General features: G+C 45.2%; 1 protein-coding gene across 8 annotated transcripts in view; it reads left to right on the top strand.

Moving 5' to 3' along the window:
• Positions 1-22,608, top strand: part of PADI4 (peptidyl arginine deiminase 4) — a 55,808-nt gene that overhangs the window by 8,633 nt on the left and 24,567 nt on the right. For 6 of the 8 annotated variants that reach the window (NM_012387.3, XM_011541151.2, XM_011541156.2 and 3 more), the window contains exons 2-5: positions 14,140-14,320; positions 17,114-17,180; positions 19,330-19,397; positions 21,209-21,326. In NM_012387.3, coding sequence (NP_036519.2) covers positions 14,140-14,320; positions 17,114-17,180; positions 19,330-19,397; positions 21,209-21,326 — 434 coding nt within the window. Of the gene's footprint in view, positions 1-14,139; positions 14,321-17,113; positions 17,181-19,329; positions 19,398-21,208; positions 21,327-22,608 lie in introns of those variants that run through there. The other 2 variants (XM_011541150.1, XM_011541152.1) reach the window with 2 other exon arrangements.

The raw sequence follows: 22,608 nt of genomic DNA on the forward strand, positions 1-22,608 counted from the left end.
AGCCGGGCATTCAGTAGAAGCTGTGGGACTGCATGACTGGGGCAGAGCCTCAGTGTGCTCATCTGTAAAATGGGAAGAGGGATGCCTGCCTCACAGTAGCAAGACCTCATAGTGCTGCCGTGAATGTTCAGCCGATGAGACAGTGTGTGTAGAACGCCAGGCTCACAGTAGCTCTCAACAGATACCAGTGTATGCATTCTCTCCAGCCTCAGTTTCTTCATTTGTAGAAGGGGAACTCCAATAGTACGTATGTCGCAGAGTTGTCATGGAGATGCCTGTAGAGATGGGGTTTAGCCATGTTGCCCAGGCTGGTCTCAAACTTATGGACTCAAGCAATCCACTTGCCTCAGCTTCCCAAAGTGCTAGGGTTACAGGCATGAGCCACCATGCCTGGCTGTGTGTATGGCTTTTCTGCATAAGAAAATAGCAATAACAATGCACGCCACAGACATAATGCCGACGGAGTCTCGCTCTTGTCGCCTAGGCTGGAGTGCAATGGTGAGATCTTGGCTCACTGCAATCTCCACCTCCCAGGTTCAAGCAATTCTCCTGCCTCAGCCTCCTGAGTAGCTGGGATTACAGACACCCACCACCACACCTGGCTAATTTTTTTGTATTTTTAGTACAGACGGGGATTCACCATGTTGGCCAGGCTGGTCTCGAACTCCTGACCTCGTGATCCGCCCGTCTCGGCCTCCCAAAGTGCTGGGATTACAGGCTTGAGCCACCATGCCTGGCCATCATAATGCTTTATTTATTCTGTCCTGTGCATCATGGCATGGTTCCCTCAGATTCCACTCAAAAATCAGGGTAATTCAGCAAACTCGTATTAGCATCTTCTTTGGCAGTGGTTCTCACACTTGAGTGTGTATCAAAAGCATCTGGAGAGCGTGTTAAAACACAGATTGCTGCCGGGCACTGTGGCTTGCGCCTGTAATCCCAGCACTTTGGGAGGCCAAGGCAGGAGGATCACTTGAGGCCAGGAGTTCGAGACCAGCCTGGGAAACATACTGAGACTCTCATCTCTATAAAAATGTTTTTTAAATTAGCTGGATGTGGTAGTGTGTGCCTGTAGTCCCAGCTACTCAGGAGGCTGAGGCCGGAGGATTGCTTGAGCCCAGGAGTTCAAGTCTGCCGTGAGCCATGATTGTGCCTCTGCATTCCAGCAAGACCTCCTCTCAGAAAAACCAAAACAAACAAAAAACACACACTTCTGGGCCCCACTCCTAGAGTTTCCAACTCAGTAAGTCTGAGTGGAGCCCCAGAATCTGCATTTTTAACAAATTCCCCAGTGAGGCAGATGCTGCTGTTCCGAAGACCACACTTTGGGAAGCATTGGTCTTTAGGAAGTGCTGGATGCTGGGCACAGCAGAGTGGCACCAATGCAGAGAAGGAGGTAGTCGTGATGTGGCAGGAATGGCACCAGGCTGGGCTGCAAGAGGACCCAGACCTGCCATTATCAGCCAGCACCCAGAAACGTCACTTTGCCTCTCTGAACCTGTTTTCTCATCTGTAAAAGAATAACAATGGCTCACTCATAGGATGATTGTGAAAACAAAGGTTAATGGCCACACAGAGAAAGGTGACTAGCTTGTCATCTGCTGCAGGCATGTGAACACCAACTCAGGCAACAGTGTCAGGACGGGAGAAGGTGCCAAGACCGAAATGTCACTGAGGATGACAGAAATTCTAAATGTCAAACTCCCAAACGGAGGCGGGAAGAATAACCTGACTGCTGAGTGTGTCTTAATGTCTTGATCAGACTTCCTGTGACTTTGAGCTCTGAATAAACATTTTTATATTTTCACCTTTTGCCGTTCATATGCACACAAGGCGAAAATTGGCATGCTGATTTTTTTTCTTTTTTTTTTTTTGAGATGGAGTCTCGCTCTATCACCCAGGCTGGAGTGCAGTGGCGCGATCTTGGCTCACTGCAAACTCCGCCTCCCGGGTTCATGCCATTCTCTTGCCTCAGCCTCCCGAGTAGCTGGGACTACAGGCACCCGCCACAACTCCCGGCTAATTTTTTTTTGTATTTTTAATAGAGATGGGGTTTCACCATGTTAGCCAGGATGGTCTCGATCTCCTGACCTTGTGATCCACCCGCCTCGGCCTCCCAAAGTGCTGGGATTACAGGCGGGAGCCACTGCGCCCAGCCTTTTTTTTTCCTTTTTGTGGAGACAGGGTCTAGCTATTTTGCCCAGGCTGGTAGAAAGCAGTCCTCCCACCTCAGCCTCCCAAAATGCTGGGATTACAGGCGGGAGCCATCGTGCCTGGCCAGTATACTAACTTTTAAAAAAATCTACTACCACATGCCCCTTGCTTCTTCCTTTTTCTTAGGAAGATGCTGATTTTGGTTCAAGTGTTTTTTTGATTGTCTGCCACTTTTCCAGACCTCGGCCATCATATCACTCAAGAGTACAGGGTTTTACCTAGGATCAAGAGAGAGACAGAGGCATGGCGTGGTGGCTCATGTCTGTAATCCCAGCACTTTGGAAGGCCAAGATGGGAGGATCCCTTGAGCCCAGGAGTTCAAGACCAGTCTGGAGATAAGGAGACTCCATCTCTACAAACAATAATTATTTTAAAATTAGCCAGGGGTGATGGCATGTACCTGTGGTCCCAGCTACTCAGGAGGCTGAGGTGGAAGGGTCACTTCAGCCTGGGAGGTTGAGTTGCAGTGCACTGTGCTTAAAAAAAGAGAGAGAGAGACATTCAAAGACAGAGGGTGTATTAGTTTCCTATTTGTTAAAAGAAACACAAGACAAATTAAATTTAATAGCTTAGTGGAGCAAAGAACCATTAGTGAATCAGGCAGCCCCTTTTACCCAAACCAGAATAGGTTCAGAAAGACTCAGGAGCTGCCACATGGTTGAACAATATTTACGGACAGAAAAACGAAAGTGACCCACAGAGCACGGAAGCGAGGCTCAGAAACAGCTGGATTGACTACAGCTCGGCATCGGCCTCATTTGAACATGGTTTGAACAGTTGGCTGCCTGAGATCAGCCAAAACAGTGCTTGGTATAAAAGTAGGTCACGGGCTGTTTACACCTCCAGTTAGGTTACAGTTTACTATGTACGAAAAAACCTTTCAGCCGAACTTAAAATACCTAAGGAGGCAGCTGTGGGGTAAACTTAATATAACACATTGCTGCTGTAACAAATCACTACAAACTTAGTGACTTCAAACAGCACAAACTTATTACTTACCAGTTTGCAAGATCAGAAGTCCAAAATATGAATCTTACTTGGCTAAAATCAAGGTGTCGGCAAGGCTGTATTCCTTCTGGAAGCTCCAGGGGCAAACCCATTCCTTGCAGCTTCTAGAGGTGCCCGCATTCCTTGGCTTGTGGCCCCTTCCAGCAACAGCATCACTCTGATCTCTGCTGCCATCACCACAGTTTCCCTGACTCAGACCCTCCTGCCTCCCTCTTATAAAGACCTTTGTATTACTGGAAAGTGGTCCCAATCCAGACCCCAAAAGAGGGTTCTTGAATTTTGCCTGAGAAAGAATTCAAGGTGAATCCATAAAGTGAAAGCAAGTTTATTAAGAACGCAAAGGAATAAAAGAATGGCTACTCCATAGACAGAGCAGTCCCAAAGGCTGCTGGTTGCCCATTTTTATGGTTATTTCTTGATTATATGCTAAACAAGGGGTGGATTATTCATGAGTTTTCAGGGTAAAGGGTGGGCAATTCCCTGAACTGAGGGTTCCTCCACTTTTTAGACCATATAGGGTAACTTCCAAGCGTTGCCATAGTATCCGTAAACTGTCATGACGCTGGTGGGAGTGTCTTTTAGCATGCTAATGTATTATAATTAGTGTATAACGAGCAGTGAGGACGACCAGAAGTCACTCTCGTCATCGTCTTGGTTTTGGTGGGGTTTGGCCAGCTTCTTTACTGTCACCTGTTTTATCAGCAAGGTCTTTATGACCTGTGTCTTGTGCTGACCTCCTATCTCATCCTGTGACTTAGAATGCCTAACTTACTGGGAATGCAGCCCAGCAGATCTCAGCCTTATTTTATGCAACCCCTATTCAAGATGGAGTTGCTCTGGTTCAAATGCCTCTGACACTTGTGGTTACATTGGGCCCATCTGGCTAATCTAGGATAATCTCCCCATCTCAAGATCGTTAACTTAATCACATTTGCAAGTTTCCTTTTCTGTGTAAGGTAACATCTTCACAGGTTTGGGGGACTAGGGTGTGGTCATCTTTGGGAGACCATTGTTCTGCCTACCACAGAGGGCTGATCTCATTTTGAGGAAGAAATCCCTTTTGGTTGGAGTGATAAAGGGAGGATTCGATGGCAGAGAACCCACTGAGATGGGCCTTTGGGGCTGGATTGGATTCTGCAAGAAGGATGTGGGAAGGGAGAGCCCTCCAGATGAGGGGCAGGTGAGAAGCAAAGCCCGGGAGATGGGAAAGTGGGGGGCAGGTGCAGGGAACTGTGGGCCATTCAGTCTGACCATAGCACAGGGAGAGCAGCACGGGGGACCACTGGGGGCCAGGCCAGGGCCCACCCTCACTCTCTTTATGAAGCAGAGATCCAATATACCTAACTCTTGAGTTTGGGAAAGTGACTTCACCTCTCTGTGCCTCAGTTTACTCATCTGTAAAATGAACAGTACCCGCCTTACAGGCTAGTGGTGAGAACCGAATTAATTAACGTGTGGAAAGAATGTGAACAGTGCCTGGAGCAGAGTAAATTGCCTGTAAGTAATTGCTGTCATTTAAGAATGTGAAATTGACTTCGTGAGGGTAGAATGAGAGCCCAAGCCAGGGTGGGCAGGAGATGGAATGAAATCTCCTCTTCTGTCTACTTCAGACCTCTTAGGTTCTTCAAAGGCTATGTCAAATTCCATCTCCTGAAGGATCAACATCAGAATGTTAGTGATTGTCTTGTAAATCAATGAAAATGACCAAGATGAGTGTCAATCATTTTAGAAGGTTTATTTGCCAAAGTTAAGGACCCGTGTCTGGGAGGCAGGTCCATGCCCTTCTCTGAAGATGATTTTGAGGCCTTGGATATTTAAAGGAGAAAGGGCGGATAATGGAAGAAGATGAAGAAATTTTTTTAATGTGTGGGTGGATAAGAGACAAACAGTTGCATCCTTTTGAGTCTTTGATCAGCCTTTTACTGAAAACACCATTTTCGTGTGAGGCAAGGTAGAGGAGTAGTCACTTATGCATTCATCTAGCTCAGTGAATCTGCATTTTTACATGAGATTACATAAATATAGCGGAGAGGAAGCAATTACATATGCATTTGTCTCAGGGGAGCAGAGGGATGACTTTGAGTTCTGTCCTTTGTCCTGTACCTGTAAAGATAAGCTCTGTCCTTTGCCCTGTACCTGTAAAGATAAGCTATCAGCTGGGCGTGGTGGCTCATGCCTGTAATCCCAACACTTTGGGAGGCCAAGGCGGGTGGATCACCTGAGGTCAGGAGTTTGAGACCAGCCTGACCAATATGGTGAAACCCTATCTCTACTAAAAATACAAAAAATTAGCCGGGAGTGGTGGCATGCACCTGTAGTCCCAGCTACTTGGGAGGCTGAGACAGGAGAATTGCTTGAACCTGGGAGGCGGAGGCTGCGGTGAGCTGAGATTGCACCACTGCACTCTAGCCTGGGTGACAGAGTGAGACTCCATCCCCCCCCAAAAAAAAAGATAAGCTATAAATGTACAATTGCTAGGGAGAAATTCAACAGAACTGTTTTAGGGTAAAGATCTTTGGGGCCCACAGGGAATTTCCTTGTGGGCCAATTGTGAGGGAAGTATGTAGCTTTTTATCTTTATAGTTATTTTATTTATGAACCATGAGAGGCAGGTTTGAGGGACCCAGTTCCCAGGACTCTTCCCTTTGGCTTAGTGAGTTTGGGGTCCCAAGATGTATTTTCCTTTCACAGTCTGTAAGTGGTAAGATTCATTTTCTTCTAGGCAATTTATGTCTTCTTCCCTCCCTTCCTTCTTTCTTTCCTTCTTCTTTCTCTTTTTCTCTCTTTCTCCCCTTCTCCCCCTCCCACTTCTTCTTTCTTCTGGTATACTGTATTAGCTATCTATACTGTGTAACAAATTGTCCCAAAACTTAGTGGCTCAAAATGATAACATTTATTGTATCATAATTTCTATAGGTTAGCAATCCAGTATGGTTTAGCTGGGTTCTCTACTTCAAGGTTTCTCATAATCAAGGTATTGGTAGAGCCGTAGTCATGCTAAGGCTCCACCAGGGAAGGTGACACTTCCAAGCCCACTCATATGGCTGTTGGTAGGATTCAGGGCCTTGCAGGGTGTTGGAACCTCAGTTCCTCCCTGGCTGTTGGCTGGAAGCCTCCCTCAGTTTCCTGCCACATTGGCCTCTCCATAGCTCACAAAATGGCAGCTTGCTTCATCAAGGTGAGCAAGGCAAGAGACAGGCAGAGAGAGAGGCAGAGAGAGAGACAGAGAGAGAATTCTATTGTAACCTTATGACAGAAGTGATATTCCAGCACTTTTACTTCCTTGGTTAGAAGGAAGTCAGTAGGTCCAGCCCATACTCAAGGGGAGAGAATTACACAAGGGCATGAACAGCAGAGACGGGAATTACTGGGGACCATCTTAGAAGTCTGTCCACCATATACTTTTCCTGTAGTTTCCTAATTCTTTATAATGAATACATATAACTCTTAATATAGAGACAAATATTCAATACAAAGATAAAAATAGAAAATGTAATCCTAAGCCAGGTACTGTGATTCATGCCTGTAATCCCAGCACTTTGGGAGGCCAAGGCAGCAGATCACTTAAGTCTAGGGGTTCAAGACTAGCCTGCATGACATGGCAAAACCCCATCTCTACAAAAATACAAAAATCAGCTGGGTGTGATGGTGCACACCTGTAGTCCTGGCTACTTGGGAGGCTGAGATGAGAGGCTAGCTTAAGCCCAGGAGGCAGAGGTTGCAGTGAGCTGAGATCACACCACTACACTCCAGCCTGGGCAACAGAGATCTCACCTCAAAAAACAAGCAAACAAACAACAACAACAACAAAAAAAACACAAACAAACAAAAAACACATGTAATCCTAAGTGTTTCTGTGACCTTATGTGGACGGAGTTCTGCCTCTCTAGGGATTGTCCACTGTGAATCCACTATAATTTATTAGCTATTCTTTTGTGGGTATTTAGACCATGTTTCATTGTTCACATTACAGAAAGGGCTGCTCTGAACTTTCTTGAACATGTCTCCTAGTGAACACATGAAAGAGATTCTCCAGAGTATCTGCCTAGAAGTCAAATTGCTGGGTTTGGGGCTGGCTAATAACACCAAGTTGGGTTTTTTTTGTTTTTTTTTTTTTGCAAAATGGTTAATTTCACACTCCAGTAAGCAGTGTGTTAGAGTTTCTGTTGAATCGTGTCATTTATAGTGTTATTTTTCACCAATTGAGTGGGTATAAAACCCTATTTCTTTATGGTGTTAACCTTTTCATTCTCTTACTTGTTAGTAAGGTGGAGTGCCTCTTCATGTTTTCATGTTGATTTGCCTAAGTTCTTTAAATAGTCTGCATGCTAAGCCTTTGTTGGTTTTATGTTGTGAATATATTCTCCTTACATTGTGCTTGTCTTTTTACTTTATATTGTCTTTTGATTAACAGAATTTATTTTCTTTTTTAATTTTTAAATTGATGTTAATTTTTTAAAAAATAGAAACAGGGTCTCACTATGTTGCCCTGGCTGGCCTTGAACTCCTGGCTCAAGTGATCTTCCCACCTTGGCCTCCCAAAGCACTGGGATTAAAGGTGTGAGCCACTGCACCTGGCCTATTTATTTACATCTAGTTGAATTTTTTGATCTTTTCCTTCAGGTTTACTGGTTTTGAGTCTTGTTTCAGAGAAAGCATAAATATGTTATCCTGTATCCTCTTCTAGAGATTCAAAGTTCTGACTTTCACATTTAAGTCTTTATCTCCCTCCAGCTGATTTTTGTGTATGGTGTGAGGCTGGGATCAATTTAATTATTTTTCCAATTTAGTATTTTCTATATGAATGAGCAATTGCTCCAGCAACATTTATGATATAGTCTCTACTACCTCCAGCCATCTGCAAGCCTATTTCTGTCATAGATCAAGTTGTATGTCCTTTAAGTTTTATCCTTCCTTTGTCTTGGCCTGAGCCATTAAAACCCCATCTTAAGTTCCATGGCTTTATAGGAAGTCTTATACCTGGTTGAGAAAGTGCCTCACCTTTTACTACTTTCCTTTACAAGTACCTTGACCAACTTAGTTCCTGGATTTCTCGTGTAGATTTAAAAATCAACTTGTCAAGTTCCATAAGAAACCCTAAAATTCCATTGAATATATAAATCCATTGGAGAGAATTCATACCTTTACGGCAACAAGGCTTCCTAACCATATACATAGTATTTCTATTTATTTGGATCTTCTCTAATGGCTTTCAATAAAGTTTGAATATTTTCTTCATAAAAATCTTACACATTTTGCTAGATTTATCCTAGGTACTTTACAGTATTTTTTCCTTTTGTAAATTACATCAGTTTTTTAAAAATTGTTTTCTTCTTAAAGAAATGGTTTGCTAGAAAAAAAGAAAAATATTTGTTTCCTATTTATTGCTGATGTATAGAAATGTAATTTATTTTTTCCTCTTTACTTTATTAGTCACCTTATTAAACTTTTGTCTTTTTATTTATTTTTAATTTTTAAAAAAGTTTAATTCACTCTTTTGGAGTTTGCAGACAACTGTATTTTCTGTCAATATTGGCAGTTTTTTTCTTACTTTTCACTCTTTATATCTTTTACTTTATGTCTTTTTTTCTCTTGCTGCAGTGCTTAGAATCATCCACACAATGTTAAAAAGATGTGACTTTTTGATCCTACCACGTTCCTGATTTTTTTTTTTTTAAACAGAGTCTCACTCTGTTACCCAGGCTGGAGTGCAATGGCACAATCTTGACTCACTGCAACCTCTGCCTCCCAGGTTCAAACGATTCTCATGCCTCAGCCTCCCCAGTAGCTGAGATTACAGACGTGCACTACCCAGTTAATTTTTGTATTTTTAGTAGAGACAGGGTTTTGCCACGTTGGCCAGGCTGGTCTCCAACTCCCGACCTCATGGGATCTGCCCACCTCAGCTTCCCAAAGTTCTAGGATTACAGGCATGAGCCACTGCACCCAGCCCCATGTTTCTGACTTTAAAGGGAAGGTTTTCACATTTTCCCTGTCAAACAGGACGTTCTCTGTGGGTCTTTTGTTAACCTTTTATCAACTATCTACAGAAAAAAAAAAATCTGCTTTATCTTCAGTAATATTTCTTTTGCTTTCCTAATATTTTTTCTCTTGATCAATGTTGCCAGAGATTTGTCAGTTTTATTGGTCTATTCTAAGAACCAACTTTTGGCTTTATTGATTTGTTTTATTATTTCACAGATTTCTTCCAACTTTATTTTATTTTGGGATTTTACATTACATTTTCTTTTTCTATTAATTTTCAGCTTTTACTTTCTTTTTAAAAATATAAACATTTAAGGCATAAAGTATCACTTTTACATCTCCCCAAAAGTTTTGAAAATAGTATTTTAGTTATTGCTCAGTCCTAAGTATTATTACTTAATTTCCATTATTAATTGTCCTTTGACTTGTAAGTAATTGAGATGTCTGGTTTTAAATTTCCAAATGTATGGTGCTTTTAAAAACATACTTTATACTAGTGACTTCTAACTTAGTTACATTATGATCAGAGACTCTGCTACCCATATATTACCTATGCTTTAATGTTTGTCACACTGTCATTGACTTGCTTTATGGCCAATTACATAGTCACTTTTTTAAATGACCCATGACCCGTGTGTGCTTTGCTTGGGAAAATGTATATTTGCTACTTGTGGGATACACAATTCTATATATATCGACTAAATCAACTTTGTTAATTATGTTAGCAAAATCTGTATCATTACTTAATTTTTATCTGCTTAATCTATTGTTGATTGAGAAAGAAGAGTTGAAATCTTCAACTCTGATGGTGGTTTTGTCAACTTCTTTTCCCTATGAATGTATTTCTATTAATGTTTGCCTTATATGCTTTTTTTTTTTTTTTTGAGACACAGTCTCACCCTCTCACTCTGTCACCCAGGCTGGGGTACAGTGGTGCAATATTGGCTCACTGCAACCTCTGCCTCCCAGGCTCAAGTGATCTTCCCACCTCTGCCTCCTGAGTAGCTAGGACTACACGTGCATGCCACAGTGCCTGGCTAATTATTTTGTATTTTTTGTAGAGATGGGGTTTTACCATATTGCTCAGGCTGGTCTTAAACTCCTGGGCTCAGGCGATCTGCCCACCTTGGCCTCCCAATGTGTTGGTATGAGCCACCATGCCCAGCCTTGCTTTATATATGTTGAGGCTCTTATTAGATGCATACAAGTTTAGAATATCTTCTAGGTAAGTTAAACCGTATATCATTAGGTTGTAATCCTCTCTATTGATACCAATGTGTTTTGTCTAATAATTCATTCTTTTGATATTAATATATCCATCCCAGCTCTCTTTGAGTTAGCATTTGCTTAATGTATCTTTTATCCTTTTTAAAAATTTTTCAACTTTTCTGGATCGTTATATTTTAGATGTGTTTCTTATAATCAGTATATTACTGGATTTTGTTTATTTAATGAAAACTCTCTTTTAACTGGCAATATTAATCCTGTTATATTTATTTTGATTATTTACTTTTTTTTTTTTTGAGATGGAGTCTCGCTTTGTCACCCAGGCTGGAGTACAGTGGCGTGATCTCAGGTTACTGCAACCTCTGCCTCTCGGGTTCAAGCAATTCTCCTGCCTCAGCCTCCCAAGTGGCTGAGATTACAGGCACGTACAACCATGCCCAGCTAATTTTTGTATTTTTTTTTAGTAGAGACTGGCTTTTGCCACGTTGGCCAGGCCGGTCTCAAACTCCTAACCTCAAGTGATCCTCTCACCTCAGCCTCCCAAAGTTCTGGGATTACAAGCAATTATTTACATATTTGGATTTGTTCTCACCAATCTTTTATTTTTATTTGTCCAATTTCTCCCTATGTGGCCTTTTCTCTTTCCTTGCTTTTTTGGAAGGCAGTTCTCCTATTCATTTTCTTATTATTGCATTTTTTCCATGTGTAGAAATTTATAAATGCTATTTCTATTATTTTGGTGAATATCTTTATTTATTTTGTTTCTTAAAGACAGGTTCTCACTCTGTTGCCCAGGATGGAGTGCAGATGTTGTGGAGTGCAGAATCATGGCTCACTGCATCCTTGACCTCCTGGACTCAAGTGATCCTCTTTCCTCAGCATTTTGAGTATCCATGACTACAGGCACAAGCCACCATACCCAGCTAATTGTTTTATTTTTTGTACAGACAGGATCTTCCTATGTTGCCCAGGCTGGTCTCAAACTCCTGGGTGCAAACAATCCTCCTGCCTTTGCCTCCCAAAGCGCTGGGATTATAGGCATGAGCCACCGTGCTCGGCCAAAGACCTTTAAAAGTATAGGCCAGGCGCATAAAAGTTTAGGCCAGGCACAGTGGCTCATGCCTGTAATCCCAACACTTTGGAAGACCAAGGCAGAAGGATTGCTTGAGGCCAGGAGTTTGAGACCAGCCTGGGTAACATAGCGAGACTCTGTCTCTACAAAAAATTTTAAAAATTAGCTGGGTGTGGTGGCATGCACCTGTAGTCCCTGCTACTTGGGAGGCTGAGACATGAGGATCACTTGAGCATAGGAGGTCAAGGCTGCAGTGAATTGTGATCACGTCACTGTCCTCTACCCTGGGTGACAAAGGGAGACCCTGTCTCTAAAAAAAAAAAATAAGTTTAACTCTAAAAAATCTAGAGTTAAACAATATCTTAATTCCCATTTTAATCAAGGACCTCAAAATACTTCAACTCTCTCATCCTCCTGCCAAATTATATTCTGCCTTTTTTATCCCACAGTTTTTATGACTTTTTTGTATACAATGTTGGTTTAGATTTACCAAAATATTTACCATTTTATTTGTTCACGATTCTTTGTTGCACTTCAGACCATTCTTATGACATCAGATACCTCCATCCTAAACTACGCCTTCAGAAATTGCCTTGGTGAAAATCTGATTTTAAAATATCGGTTTTTGTTCATCCAAAAATATCTATATTAAGATATTTTTATTATGATATTTATTAAGATATCTTAATATAATAAATTATATTAAGATATAATTTATTAATAAAATATTAATATTAATATTTTATTAGTATCTTAATAAATATCTTTATTAAGATATTTTTTGTACGAGTGCACGATTCTAGGTTAACAGTTACAACTGACCCTTGAATAACATTGTGGATAGGACTGCTGACCCCCAATGTAGTTGAAAATCTGTGTATACAGGAGGCTGAGGGAGGAGAATGGCGTGAACCCAGGAGGCAGAGCTTGCAGTGAGCCAAGATCACGCCACTGCACTCCAGCCTGGGCGACAGTGAGACTCTGTCTCAAAAAAAAAAAAAAAATAGTAAATCTTGTATAACTTTGACTCTCCAAAACTTAACTACTAATAGACTACTGTTGATGGGAGGCTTACCAGTAACATAAACAGTTGATTAACAGATATTTTGTATGTTACATGTATTATATACTGTGGTCTTACAACAAAGTAAGCTAAAGAAAAGAAAATCATAAGGAAGAGAAAATATATTTACTGTTCATTAAGTGGAAGTGGATCATCATAAGGGTCTTCAGCCTCGTCTTCATGTTGAGTAGGCTGAGGAGGAAGGGGGGTTGGTCTTGCTGTCTCAGGGGTGGCAGAGGAGGAAGGAAATCAGAGTAGAAGTGGACTCACGCAGTTCAAACCTGTGCTGTTCAAGGGTCAACTATTTTCCCGAAATACTATAAAGAGATGACACAACTGTTTTTTGGATGTCACTGTTGTTGACAAGTCTGCTTCCAATCGAATTGTTATTTCCTCCTAGATAATCCGACTTTCCTTTCTGAATGCCTTTAAGATCCTCTCTTTGTCTTTGATGTTCTTCACTTTGACCACTGTGTATGTGCATGTGTGTGTATGTTTGTGTGCACATGAAGAAGGCTAATTCTGGGAGATGTACCTTATTTCTCATGAGTTCAGCAATACTTTAAAAAGTATATTTTATCCATGATCCAGTTGTTTCTTAAGAGGAAGGTCCTTCAGAGTACCTGGTCTGCCACAATTCCAGAAGCAGAAGTCTATGATGCTTTGTACATGCACAATCCTGCGTGTGCACAGTGGCGTGGTGGAAACCTCTGGGTGGACACACCCCTCCATGCCTACATCTGTGTGTGTGGGAGCCTTTAGTGTGCCCATCCCTCTGCTATTTTTCTAGTTCAAATGCAAACCCTTCAGGTCAGGGGATTCGCTTTCTGTCAGTCTCATTCCCTCCTGACAACCTTACAGTACTTACTCCCCACGGTCAGAGTAAGCACTGGCTGCTGTTTGGTTTTTACACCTGTTGGGAAAAGGAGTATATTAGTCAGGGTTCTCCAGAGGGACAGAATAATAGGGTGTGTGTGTGTGAGAGAGAGTTTATTAGGGAGAACTGGCTCACACGATCACAAGGCAAAGTCCCACGATCTGCAAGCTGGGGAAGAGAGAAGCTGGCAGTGGCTCAGTCTGAATTTGAAAGCCTCAAACCAAGGAAGCCAACAATGCAGCCTTCAGTCTGTGGCCAAAGGCCCAAGAGCCCCTAGCAAGCCACTGGAGCAAGTCCCAGAGTCGAAAAGCCAATGAACCTGGAGTCTAGTGTCTAAGGGCAGGAGGAGCGGAAGGAAGCATCCAGCATTGGAGAAAGAAGGCAGCCAGAAGCCCCAGTGAGCAAGGTGATCCCACCTCTTCCACCTGTTTTTGTTGTAGCCTTGCTGGCAGCCGACTGGATGGTGCCCACCCATACTGAGGGTGGGTCTTCCTCTCCCAGTCCACTGACTCAAATGCCAACCTCCTCTGGCAACACCCTCACAGATACACCCAGAAAAAATACTTCGCATCTTTCAGTCCAAACAAGCTGACACCTAATATTAACCATCACAAGGAGAAATGCTGGGAGAGCCATGGCTGGCCCAGCCCCTCCTCACTGCATCCTCTGCTTTCCCATGTGTCTTGTCCACAGCTCTGCCCCTGAGGACTGCACGTCCTTCAGCATCAACGCCTCCCCAGGGGTGGTCGTGGATATTGCCCACGGCCCTCCAGCCAAGAAGAAATCCACAGGTTCCTCCACATGGCCCCTGGACCCTGGGGTAGAGGTGACCCTGACGATGAAAGTGGCCAGTGGTAGCACAGGCGACCAGAAGGTGAGTGTCATAGCTGTGGGGTGGCAGTGTGGATGGGCTTCAGCAGGGCAGCCACACACACTCTGTCCTGCCGTGATCCACAGCACCAGCCTGGCAGAGCCTCTTGCCCTGTGGAAGAGCTCGTGATGGCTTCTTCCAGCCATAGTGTCCTTGGGGACAATAATATACGGCTACCAGGGGTTCATGGAGGTCAGGGTTTAGATTAAACTCTATTCAGCAAATCTTTAGTCAGTACCTAACACATGCCAGACACTGCTAGACACTGCCAGGCACTGGGAATCCAGAAATGAATAAGACAGCTGAGGGTGCAGCCCTCATGGGGCTTACAACCTATGAATGGTAGCATCAGAGAATCTACTGGTAAACAAACAATTGCAAATGATACTGAGTTCTATGGAGGCCACAAACTGGTAGCCCCAAGGGATGCTGGTCCATGCTCCTGGATCGGTTTCCTGTGTCTGGTATAGAAAATCACCATGGTGGCCTGGCCGGGCACAGTGGCTCACACCTGTAATCCCAGCACTTTGGGAGGCCGAGGCGGGTGGATCACCTGAGGTCAGGAGTTTGAGACCAGCCTGGCCAACACGGTGAAACCCCATCTCTATTAAAAATACAAAAATTAGCTGGGCGTAGTGGCGAGCGCCTGTAATCCCAGCTACTCAGGAGGCTGAGGCAGGAGAATCTCTTGAACCCGGGAGGGGGAGGTTTCAGTGAGCCAAGATTGCGCCACTTCACTCCAGCCTGGGTGAAAGAGCAAAACTCCGTCTCAAAAAAACAAAAGAAAGAAAATCTCCATGGTTTGCTTAAAACAACAGAAGTGTATCCTCTCACTGTTCTGGGGTTCAGAAGTCTGAGGTCAAGGTGCCAGCAGGGCCAGATTTTTCTGGAGGCTCCAGGGGAGAATAATTATTTGCCTCCTCCAGCTTCTGGGGGCTGTCAGCAGTCTGATCTGTGGCTGTCTCACTCCAGTCTGCTTCCATGGTCGCACTGCCTCTGCCCCTTCTCTGTGGAATCCCCCTCTGCCTCTCTCATAAGGGTACTTGCCATGGGATGTGGGGCCCAGCTGGATGGTCCAGGGTGATCTCCTCATCTCAAGATCCTTTTTTATTTTTTTGAGACAAGAGTCTCGCTCTGTCGCCCAGGCTGGACTGCAGTGGTGCAATCTCGGCTCACTGCAACCTCCGCCTCCTGGGTTCAAACGATTCTCCTACCTCAGCCTCCCAAGTAGCTGGGAGTACAGGCACTCGCCACCATGCCCAGCTAATTTTTGTATTTTTTTTAGTAGAGATGGGATTTCACCATGTTGGTCAGGCTGGTCTCAAACTCCTGACCTCAAGTGATCCACTCACCTCGGCCTCCCAAAGTGCTGGGATTACAGGCATGAGCCACCGCATCTGGTCTCAAGATCCTCAACTTAGATCTGCAAAGACTTTTTTTCCAAATGAAATCACATCGACAAGTTCCAGGGATTAGGATATGGATGTATCTTTTTGGGGACCACCATTCCACCTACTACACCCCCTTTGCCTGTAGATGGGCTCAACAGGACCCTCTGGGGTTCCCACAGATCTCTGGGCCAACAGCCACTTATTCCCAGCAGAACCAGCCAAGCAGGCTTCTCCCTGGGGGAACACAGAGCTTGACTATCCAGGCAGGCTGGGGAGGGGGTGGTCGGGGAAGGCTTCCTGAAAGAAGTAGCAAGCTGAAGGGTGACACGAACTACCCACCTAAGAGCAGGAGAGAGGAGAGAGTTTGACACAGAGGGGCAGGCTGTGTGCACTCTCTGGATGAGAAAAGGGTGAGACACGTGTTGGGGAAACTGAGGAAGTTCTGTATGGCAAGAAAGGTAGATGGAACAGGAGGTGAAGGAGTCAGTTTGAAGAGTTTGGTATCAGGGACCTCATTTTCTGCAAACAACAGGAAGCCAACAAAAAGTTTTCAGCCAGCGAATAACAAGACAGCATTTGTACTTTAGAAGGATCCCAATGGCTGTGGCCTAGCAAGTAGATAGGATCTAGGGAGTGGGTGGGAGGCAGGGAGACCAGACAGAAGGCTGACACCATGGTCCAGGCAGAGGCAGTGATGGCCGTGGCGTTTTCCTGGATTTCCACTGTCTACAGGGCAGGTCCGAGCACCTCCGCGTGGCCCCTCAGGAGCTCCTCTTCCTCTGGTGGCAGCTCTTTGGCTCTGCTTTGGAAACTCCCCACCGCCATTTTGCTTGGATGTGTCAACCCAGATGCTCCACCCTCCTCTGGCCAATCCGAGGTGTTCTCCTAGGATTTCTGAACCTTGGGCACAGTGGATTGGTGTTTTCTCATCTCTTCCTGAAGAAACCTCCATCCACTCAAAGCTCCTGCTCCCCAGATCCCCCAGGACCCGGCCTTTCCAGGGTCTGGTTCTTCAGGTCTTTCCTTGATCCCTTCTGCTTGCCAGAGTCAGTTCTGTGGCTTATGATCAGCTCTCTCTAGCGCCTCTTCTGCCCCATCTCCAGCTGCTGGGCCCCTACTCCCTTTCCCAGATCTACCTCAAAGCACACTCCTTCACAAACGACCCTGCCAGGCAGAGTGTCTCCATTGCTGGGCCCCCATAGGATGCTCTTCTGTAGCACCAGTCATTCAAGCTTTTTGCTTTCCCTCCATTCCCATCGGATGGGGCCACTCCTTACAGGCTAGGACCAGTTCTTGCCCAACTTTGTCTCCCCAGTGCCCTACCCTGAGCCGGCACATAGGAGGGGGTCCAGTGGGTGTTTGTTGAATGACTAAGAGAAGTCATTAGTGATCTGCTCTCCCATAGGTTCAGATTTCATACTACGGACCCAAGACTCCACCAGTCAAAGCTCTACTCTACCTCACCGGGGTGGGTAAGTGACAACCAGGATCCTAGAGTGCCGTCTCATCCCCTGCCCACCTCCTAATCCCTGCAGGATGTCTCTGTAGGAGAAACTACACCTGGAGCTTACTTTAGACTGAGTAGAGAAAAAGCATGGTTTCTAGCCAGTCAGACATCTGGGAGTTCGAAATATTCCATCCTTAGTCAGTGAACCACAAAGAAATACAATGTGGCAGTGGTGGTGCGGGGAATTTTAATTATATCTTAACATTTTGCTTCTCAAGTTAGGAAGTAGGAACTTGGATTTTCAATATATGCATCTCCATTAATTTTTTTTTTTTTGAGATGGAGTCTCACCCTGTCACCCAGGCTGGAGTGCAATGGCATGATCTCGGCTCACTGCAACCTGCGTCTCCCAGGTTCAAGCGATCCTCCTGCTTCAGCGTCCCTAGTAGCTGGGACTACAGGCGCTTGCCACCACGCCTGGCTAATTTTTGTATTTTTAGTAGAGATGGAGTTTCACCATGTTGGCCAGGCTGGTCTCGAACTTCTGACCTCAGGTGATCTGCCTGCCTCAGGCTCCCAAAGTGCTCGGATTACTGGCATGAACCACTGCGCCAGGCCCTCTATTCCTTTTTGATACCTCAAATATCTATAACAAAAAGTAGATAATGACACTGTCTTATACAAGAATATAGATAGTGTTCCTCAAATTCCATTATTTATATCTCATCTTCACCATTTCTGCCATATCAATGATCCACCTATACTCATATTTATGTAATGTTCTTCTTTAAATAAAATCCATTCTTAAACTTGACCTCATTTTGAACAATAATATCATGATTAGTATCATTATGTGTATTAAACATATAAGTAGCAGCCAGACATGGTGGCTCACACCTGCAATCCCAGCGCTTTGGAAGGCGGAGGCAGGAGGATCGCTTGAGCCCAGGAGTTTGAGACCAGCCTGGGCAACATAGTGAGATCCTGTCTCTACAAAAAATAAAAAAAAACAGCTGAGCATGGTGGCATGTGCCTGTAGTCCCAGCTACTCAAGAGGCTGATGTGGGAGGATTGCTCGAGCCCAGAAGGTCAAGACTACATGATTGTGCCACTGCACTCCAGCCTGGGTGACAGAGTGAGACCCAGTCTCAAAAACTAAAAAATATATATATACACACACATATATATATAATATGTAGCATATAGAATCTTCAGGTTTCATTTCATTAATGCATTTCATTCATTAATGCATATTTAAGTAATAATACTACAGCACTTACTCAATTGCCAGGCACTGTGCTAAGACTTTACATTTAATCCTTACAACAATCCAGTGAAATTGGTATTATTATTATCATCCCATTTTACAGGTGAGGAAACTGAGGCACAAGAGCTAAACAGACTTGTCCAAGGTCATGCAATTGGTTAGTGAAGGAGTCAGGAAGTCCAGGCCACGAAAGGACAATGCTTCCCCGGCCCTAACTAAGACGTGGCTATGAATATGTTTAGAAGGTCATCTGGGTCAGTCTCATGTGGGACAAGGGTCACCATATCATGCTGTGGGGCACACGGATCTATTTTATTGGAATGACCTTGCAGTCATATATTCGGATGAGGGAGGAAGGATTTACAAACAAATGTTTGCTTTCTCAGCCAAGCCATTTGGACAGAGTGGGGGCATGTTCAGGGTTGCAATTTGTCCCCAGATACAGTCACAACACATGTCATGAAGAGCCCGTGGGGCTGGTGTCACCGCTGGGTCCCCCACCCCAAGGTCACTGAGGGCTGGGGCCAGAGTCTTTCGAGAGGCTGGCAGGGTGTGCCTGCAGAGGCTTCACATCGAACCTCTCATTGTGGTGGTTGGGAATTCCTTCCAAAATCCCTGGGGGTGGCCAGACGTGCAGGGTCTGGTGGACATCACAGTTGTGGCCCCGCTGAAGGGGAACAGGTGTGGTCAGAGGCCCCAGCTCTGCTGTCCGAACTGTAGCCAGACTTCCTGGGGGCCGTGGAGGAGGGATGTCTTGAACCTGTGTCTCCTCTGAAGGACGGGAAGAGGGGCTCACACTATGGGTGCACACAGTCCCCTGGGGAAACGACCTGCCCATTCAGGGCCAGGCTGGGTGCCCCAACCCCGGACCCTCACCAACCTCTCCTCTTACTTGATGGGATTTCAGAAATCTCCTTGTGCGCAGACATCACCCGCACCGGCAAAGTGAAGCCAACCAGAGCTGTGAAAGATCAGGTACCACTCACCCAAACGCTCCTTTCCTACTTCTACTGGATTCTCCCCGGGCGCCCCCTTGTGGTGATGGGGCAAATGCTGGCCTGTCCCACGTATTCCGTGTTAACTGTTAAAAAAAGAAAGAAAATTAGCATCACCATTAATATTTTGGCTTATGTATTTCCCATCTATTTTACAAAATCAGAATTTCACCAATTGTGGGTTCAGATGTGTTATCCTACAAACTGGAAACCCTACTGAGTCACCCAGTTAATACACAGCAGAGAGGAAATTCGTGGGCAGGTCTCGACTCTGGCTCAAAAACTCCCTACTCCATGCTCTACAGCTGATATGGGAGAGATTTCTGCAGAGCTGTCTACATGGGGGAATAACAGAGAAAGGAAGAAATGGCAGGGGGAGAGGCGGGAAGGAGCCAGGTGGGGAGAGGGAGGGTGTGTTGTGGAAAGACAGGATGATGGGATGTGCAGAAAGGGCAGGTGAACGCTGTCTTAAACCAGAGTCTGCAGGTAAACCTGAAACCCCAGAGCTGCCTGCACCATTTTATGCTGGTGTGCACTGGGGGCTGTGCCCTGTAAAAAGATGAAGATCCTTTGTGGGGTCAGCAAAAGTGGGAAGACAAATTACAACTCTAGGAGTAGAATCTGTCCCTGTATCCCTCCCGAAATGCAGTCATTTCCCAGGGGCAAACGCTCTCCCGCGAAGGGAGGCGCCATCACTATTAGATCCCTACAGGGTGGGGCTGCTTAATGTGCTTTAATCTCTAGGCAGATATTAACTGGCTGCTAAGAATAGTACCACACTTTGCTGAATGAGTAATTAAGAGTTCACATAATAGTAACTATTTAGATTAGAATATTGACATACATATTTAGCTGCATTTGGTTTGTCAAGCTCAACATTTTATTTATTTATTTATGTATTTATGTATTTATTTATTTATTTATTGAGATGGAGTCATGCTCTGTCTCCCAGGCTGGAGTGCAGGGGCGGTTCACCGCAACCTCCGCCTCCCAGGTTCAAGTGATTCTCCTACCTCAGCCTCCTGAGTAGCTGCAATTACAGGTGCATGCCTCCACGCCCAGCTAATTTTTGTATTTTTAGTAGAGACAGCGTTTCGCCATGTTGGCCAGGCTGGTCTTGAACTCCTGACCTCAGGTGATCTGCCTGCCTCAGCCTCCCAAAGTGCTGGGATTACAGGTGTGAGCCACTGCGCCCAGCCAACATTTCTTAAAAGCTGTTAAAATCCATGTGACTGTCTTGGGCTCCTTTTTTTAAATGGATGAATTGTGTTTTGGGTGAATTTGGTTGTGACTTTTGGAGTAAAAGGCAAAAATCCACTCCTGAGATCAAATAATTAATTGATGTGGAAGCAAGATGTGTAAACTGCACTGGGTTAAAGAAGTGATGGGGGCCGGGCGTGGTGGCTCATGCCTGTAATCCCAGCACTTTGGGAGGCCGAGGAGGATGGATCATGAGGTCAAGAGATTGAGCCATCCTGGCCAACATGGTGAAATCCCATCTCTACTAAAAATACAAAAATTAGCCAGGTGTGGTGGCATGCGCCTATAGTACCAGCTACTCAGGAGGCTGAGGCAGGAGAATCACTTCAACCTGGGGGGTGGAGGTTGCAGTGAGCCAAGATCACGCCACTGCACTCCAGCCTGGCAGCAGAGGGAGACTCCGTCTCAAAAAAATAATAAATAAATAAATAAATTTTAAAAAAGAGGTGATGGGGAGTTGCTATGCCTCTTGCAAGAGTTGGAGGGCTCTATGCTAGTTTCTGAGCATGACTCTTCCCTGCTGGTGTCCAGAGGACCTGGACCTGGGGCCCTTGTGGACAGGGTGCCATCCTGCTGGTGAACTGTGACAGAGACAATCTCGAATCTTCTGCCATGGACTGCGAGGATGATGAAGTGCTTGACAGCGAAGGTAAAGAGCATTTGCTAGCTAACGGGAAGGGCTTTTTATAAAGCCCTTTTGCCCACATAGCCTGAACCTGGTGACGGCCCTCTGAAATAAGGGTTATTGAAAGCATCTTCTTGTTGGCAAATCTGTTTTATAGGTGAAGCAATGGGCAAAGGCCCTCGGGGGTCAAGTGACCTCCCCAAGCTCACGCAGCGGTCAGGGAAGAGCTGAGGCCAGTGCTGTCTCCTGATGCCTCCTACAGGCCCTGGTTTCCATGCCTCACCCTGCTGCCCAACCTAAACGCTCTTAGGTCAAACCTGGAGCCTGAAATCCTTCGAAATGAAAGCTTTTCATTCCCAAACTCATATCAGAGCAGGCCCTGAGACCTCTGCCATAGGCCGGGCACGACTCTGACCACTTTGGAATGATTAACTCATCTGATCTTCCAACACAAACCTTTATAGGTAGGAAAACCAAGGCACGGGGAACTTAAGCAATTTGCCCAAGGTCACAGCACTGACACGTAGCAGACTCGGGGTTTGAACCCCGGACGTCCCAACACCGGAGCAGGTTTAGAGGCATGAGGATGGTGGGGAATGCAGGATCTCTGCAGGCAAACCTCTGGGCTGCTAAGGGGGTGGCTCCGGGGTTGAAGTGAGGAAACATTATCCACCTGCGCTGGAGGAAGGTGCTAAGGGGCTCTGGCTGGCAGGCCTTCCTGGGGAGCTCTTAGAATAACATAGAAATGGATGTATTTTCAAGTTGCATGTAGTTGGCCTGGCCCGATGCCAGGGGACAGCCTCTGTACAGTGCCTGACATGCGGTAATAATCACAACAGCTGTCCTTTGTGGGCACTCCCGGGGTGCCAAGAGCTGGTATAAGCACTGTGTATCACCTGACTTTATCTTCACAACCATTCTACGGTGGGTACAACTCTTGCCCCTGTCTTAGTGATGAGGAAACAGAGGCAGAGAAAGCTGAAATCCGTTTCCTAAGCCCACCCAGATCCCAGATTCAAACCAAATTGACCGCAAAGCCTTTAAGCCCTTGGCTATCAGTCAGTCCCTTGGGAACCATCTCTTCACTCTCCCCACCCTCTACCCCTTCTTGGCTATTGTTCAAGTTGGTTCACAAACCCCACTTCTTGCTCAGGACCAGCACAGAAACCTTTCACTCGTTCATTGCACAAATCTCAGCCGAGCGCCTGCCGCCTGCTGGTCATTGTTCTAGGGAGTTCTCGGCTTTCTAGGTTCAAGATTCAGGGAACGTTGCAAGGAGCAAAATATTAATAAATGTGGTCCCCGC

The sequence above is a fragment of the Homo sapiens genome, chromosome 1 (genome assembly GCF_000001405.40).
Source record: "Homo sapiens chromosome 1, GRCh38.p14 Primary Assembly".
Lineage (NCBI taxonomy): Eukaryota > Metazoa > Chordata > Mammalia > Primates > Hominidae > Homo > Homo sapiens.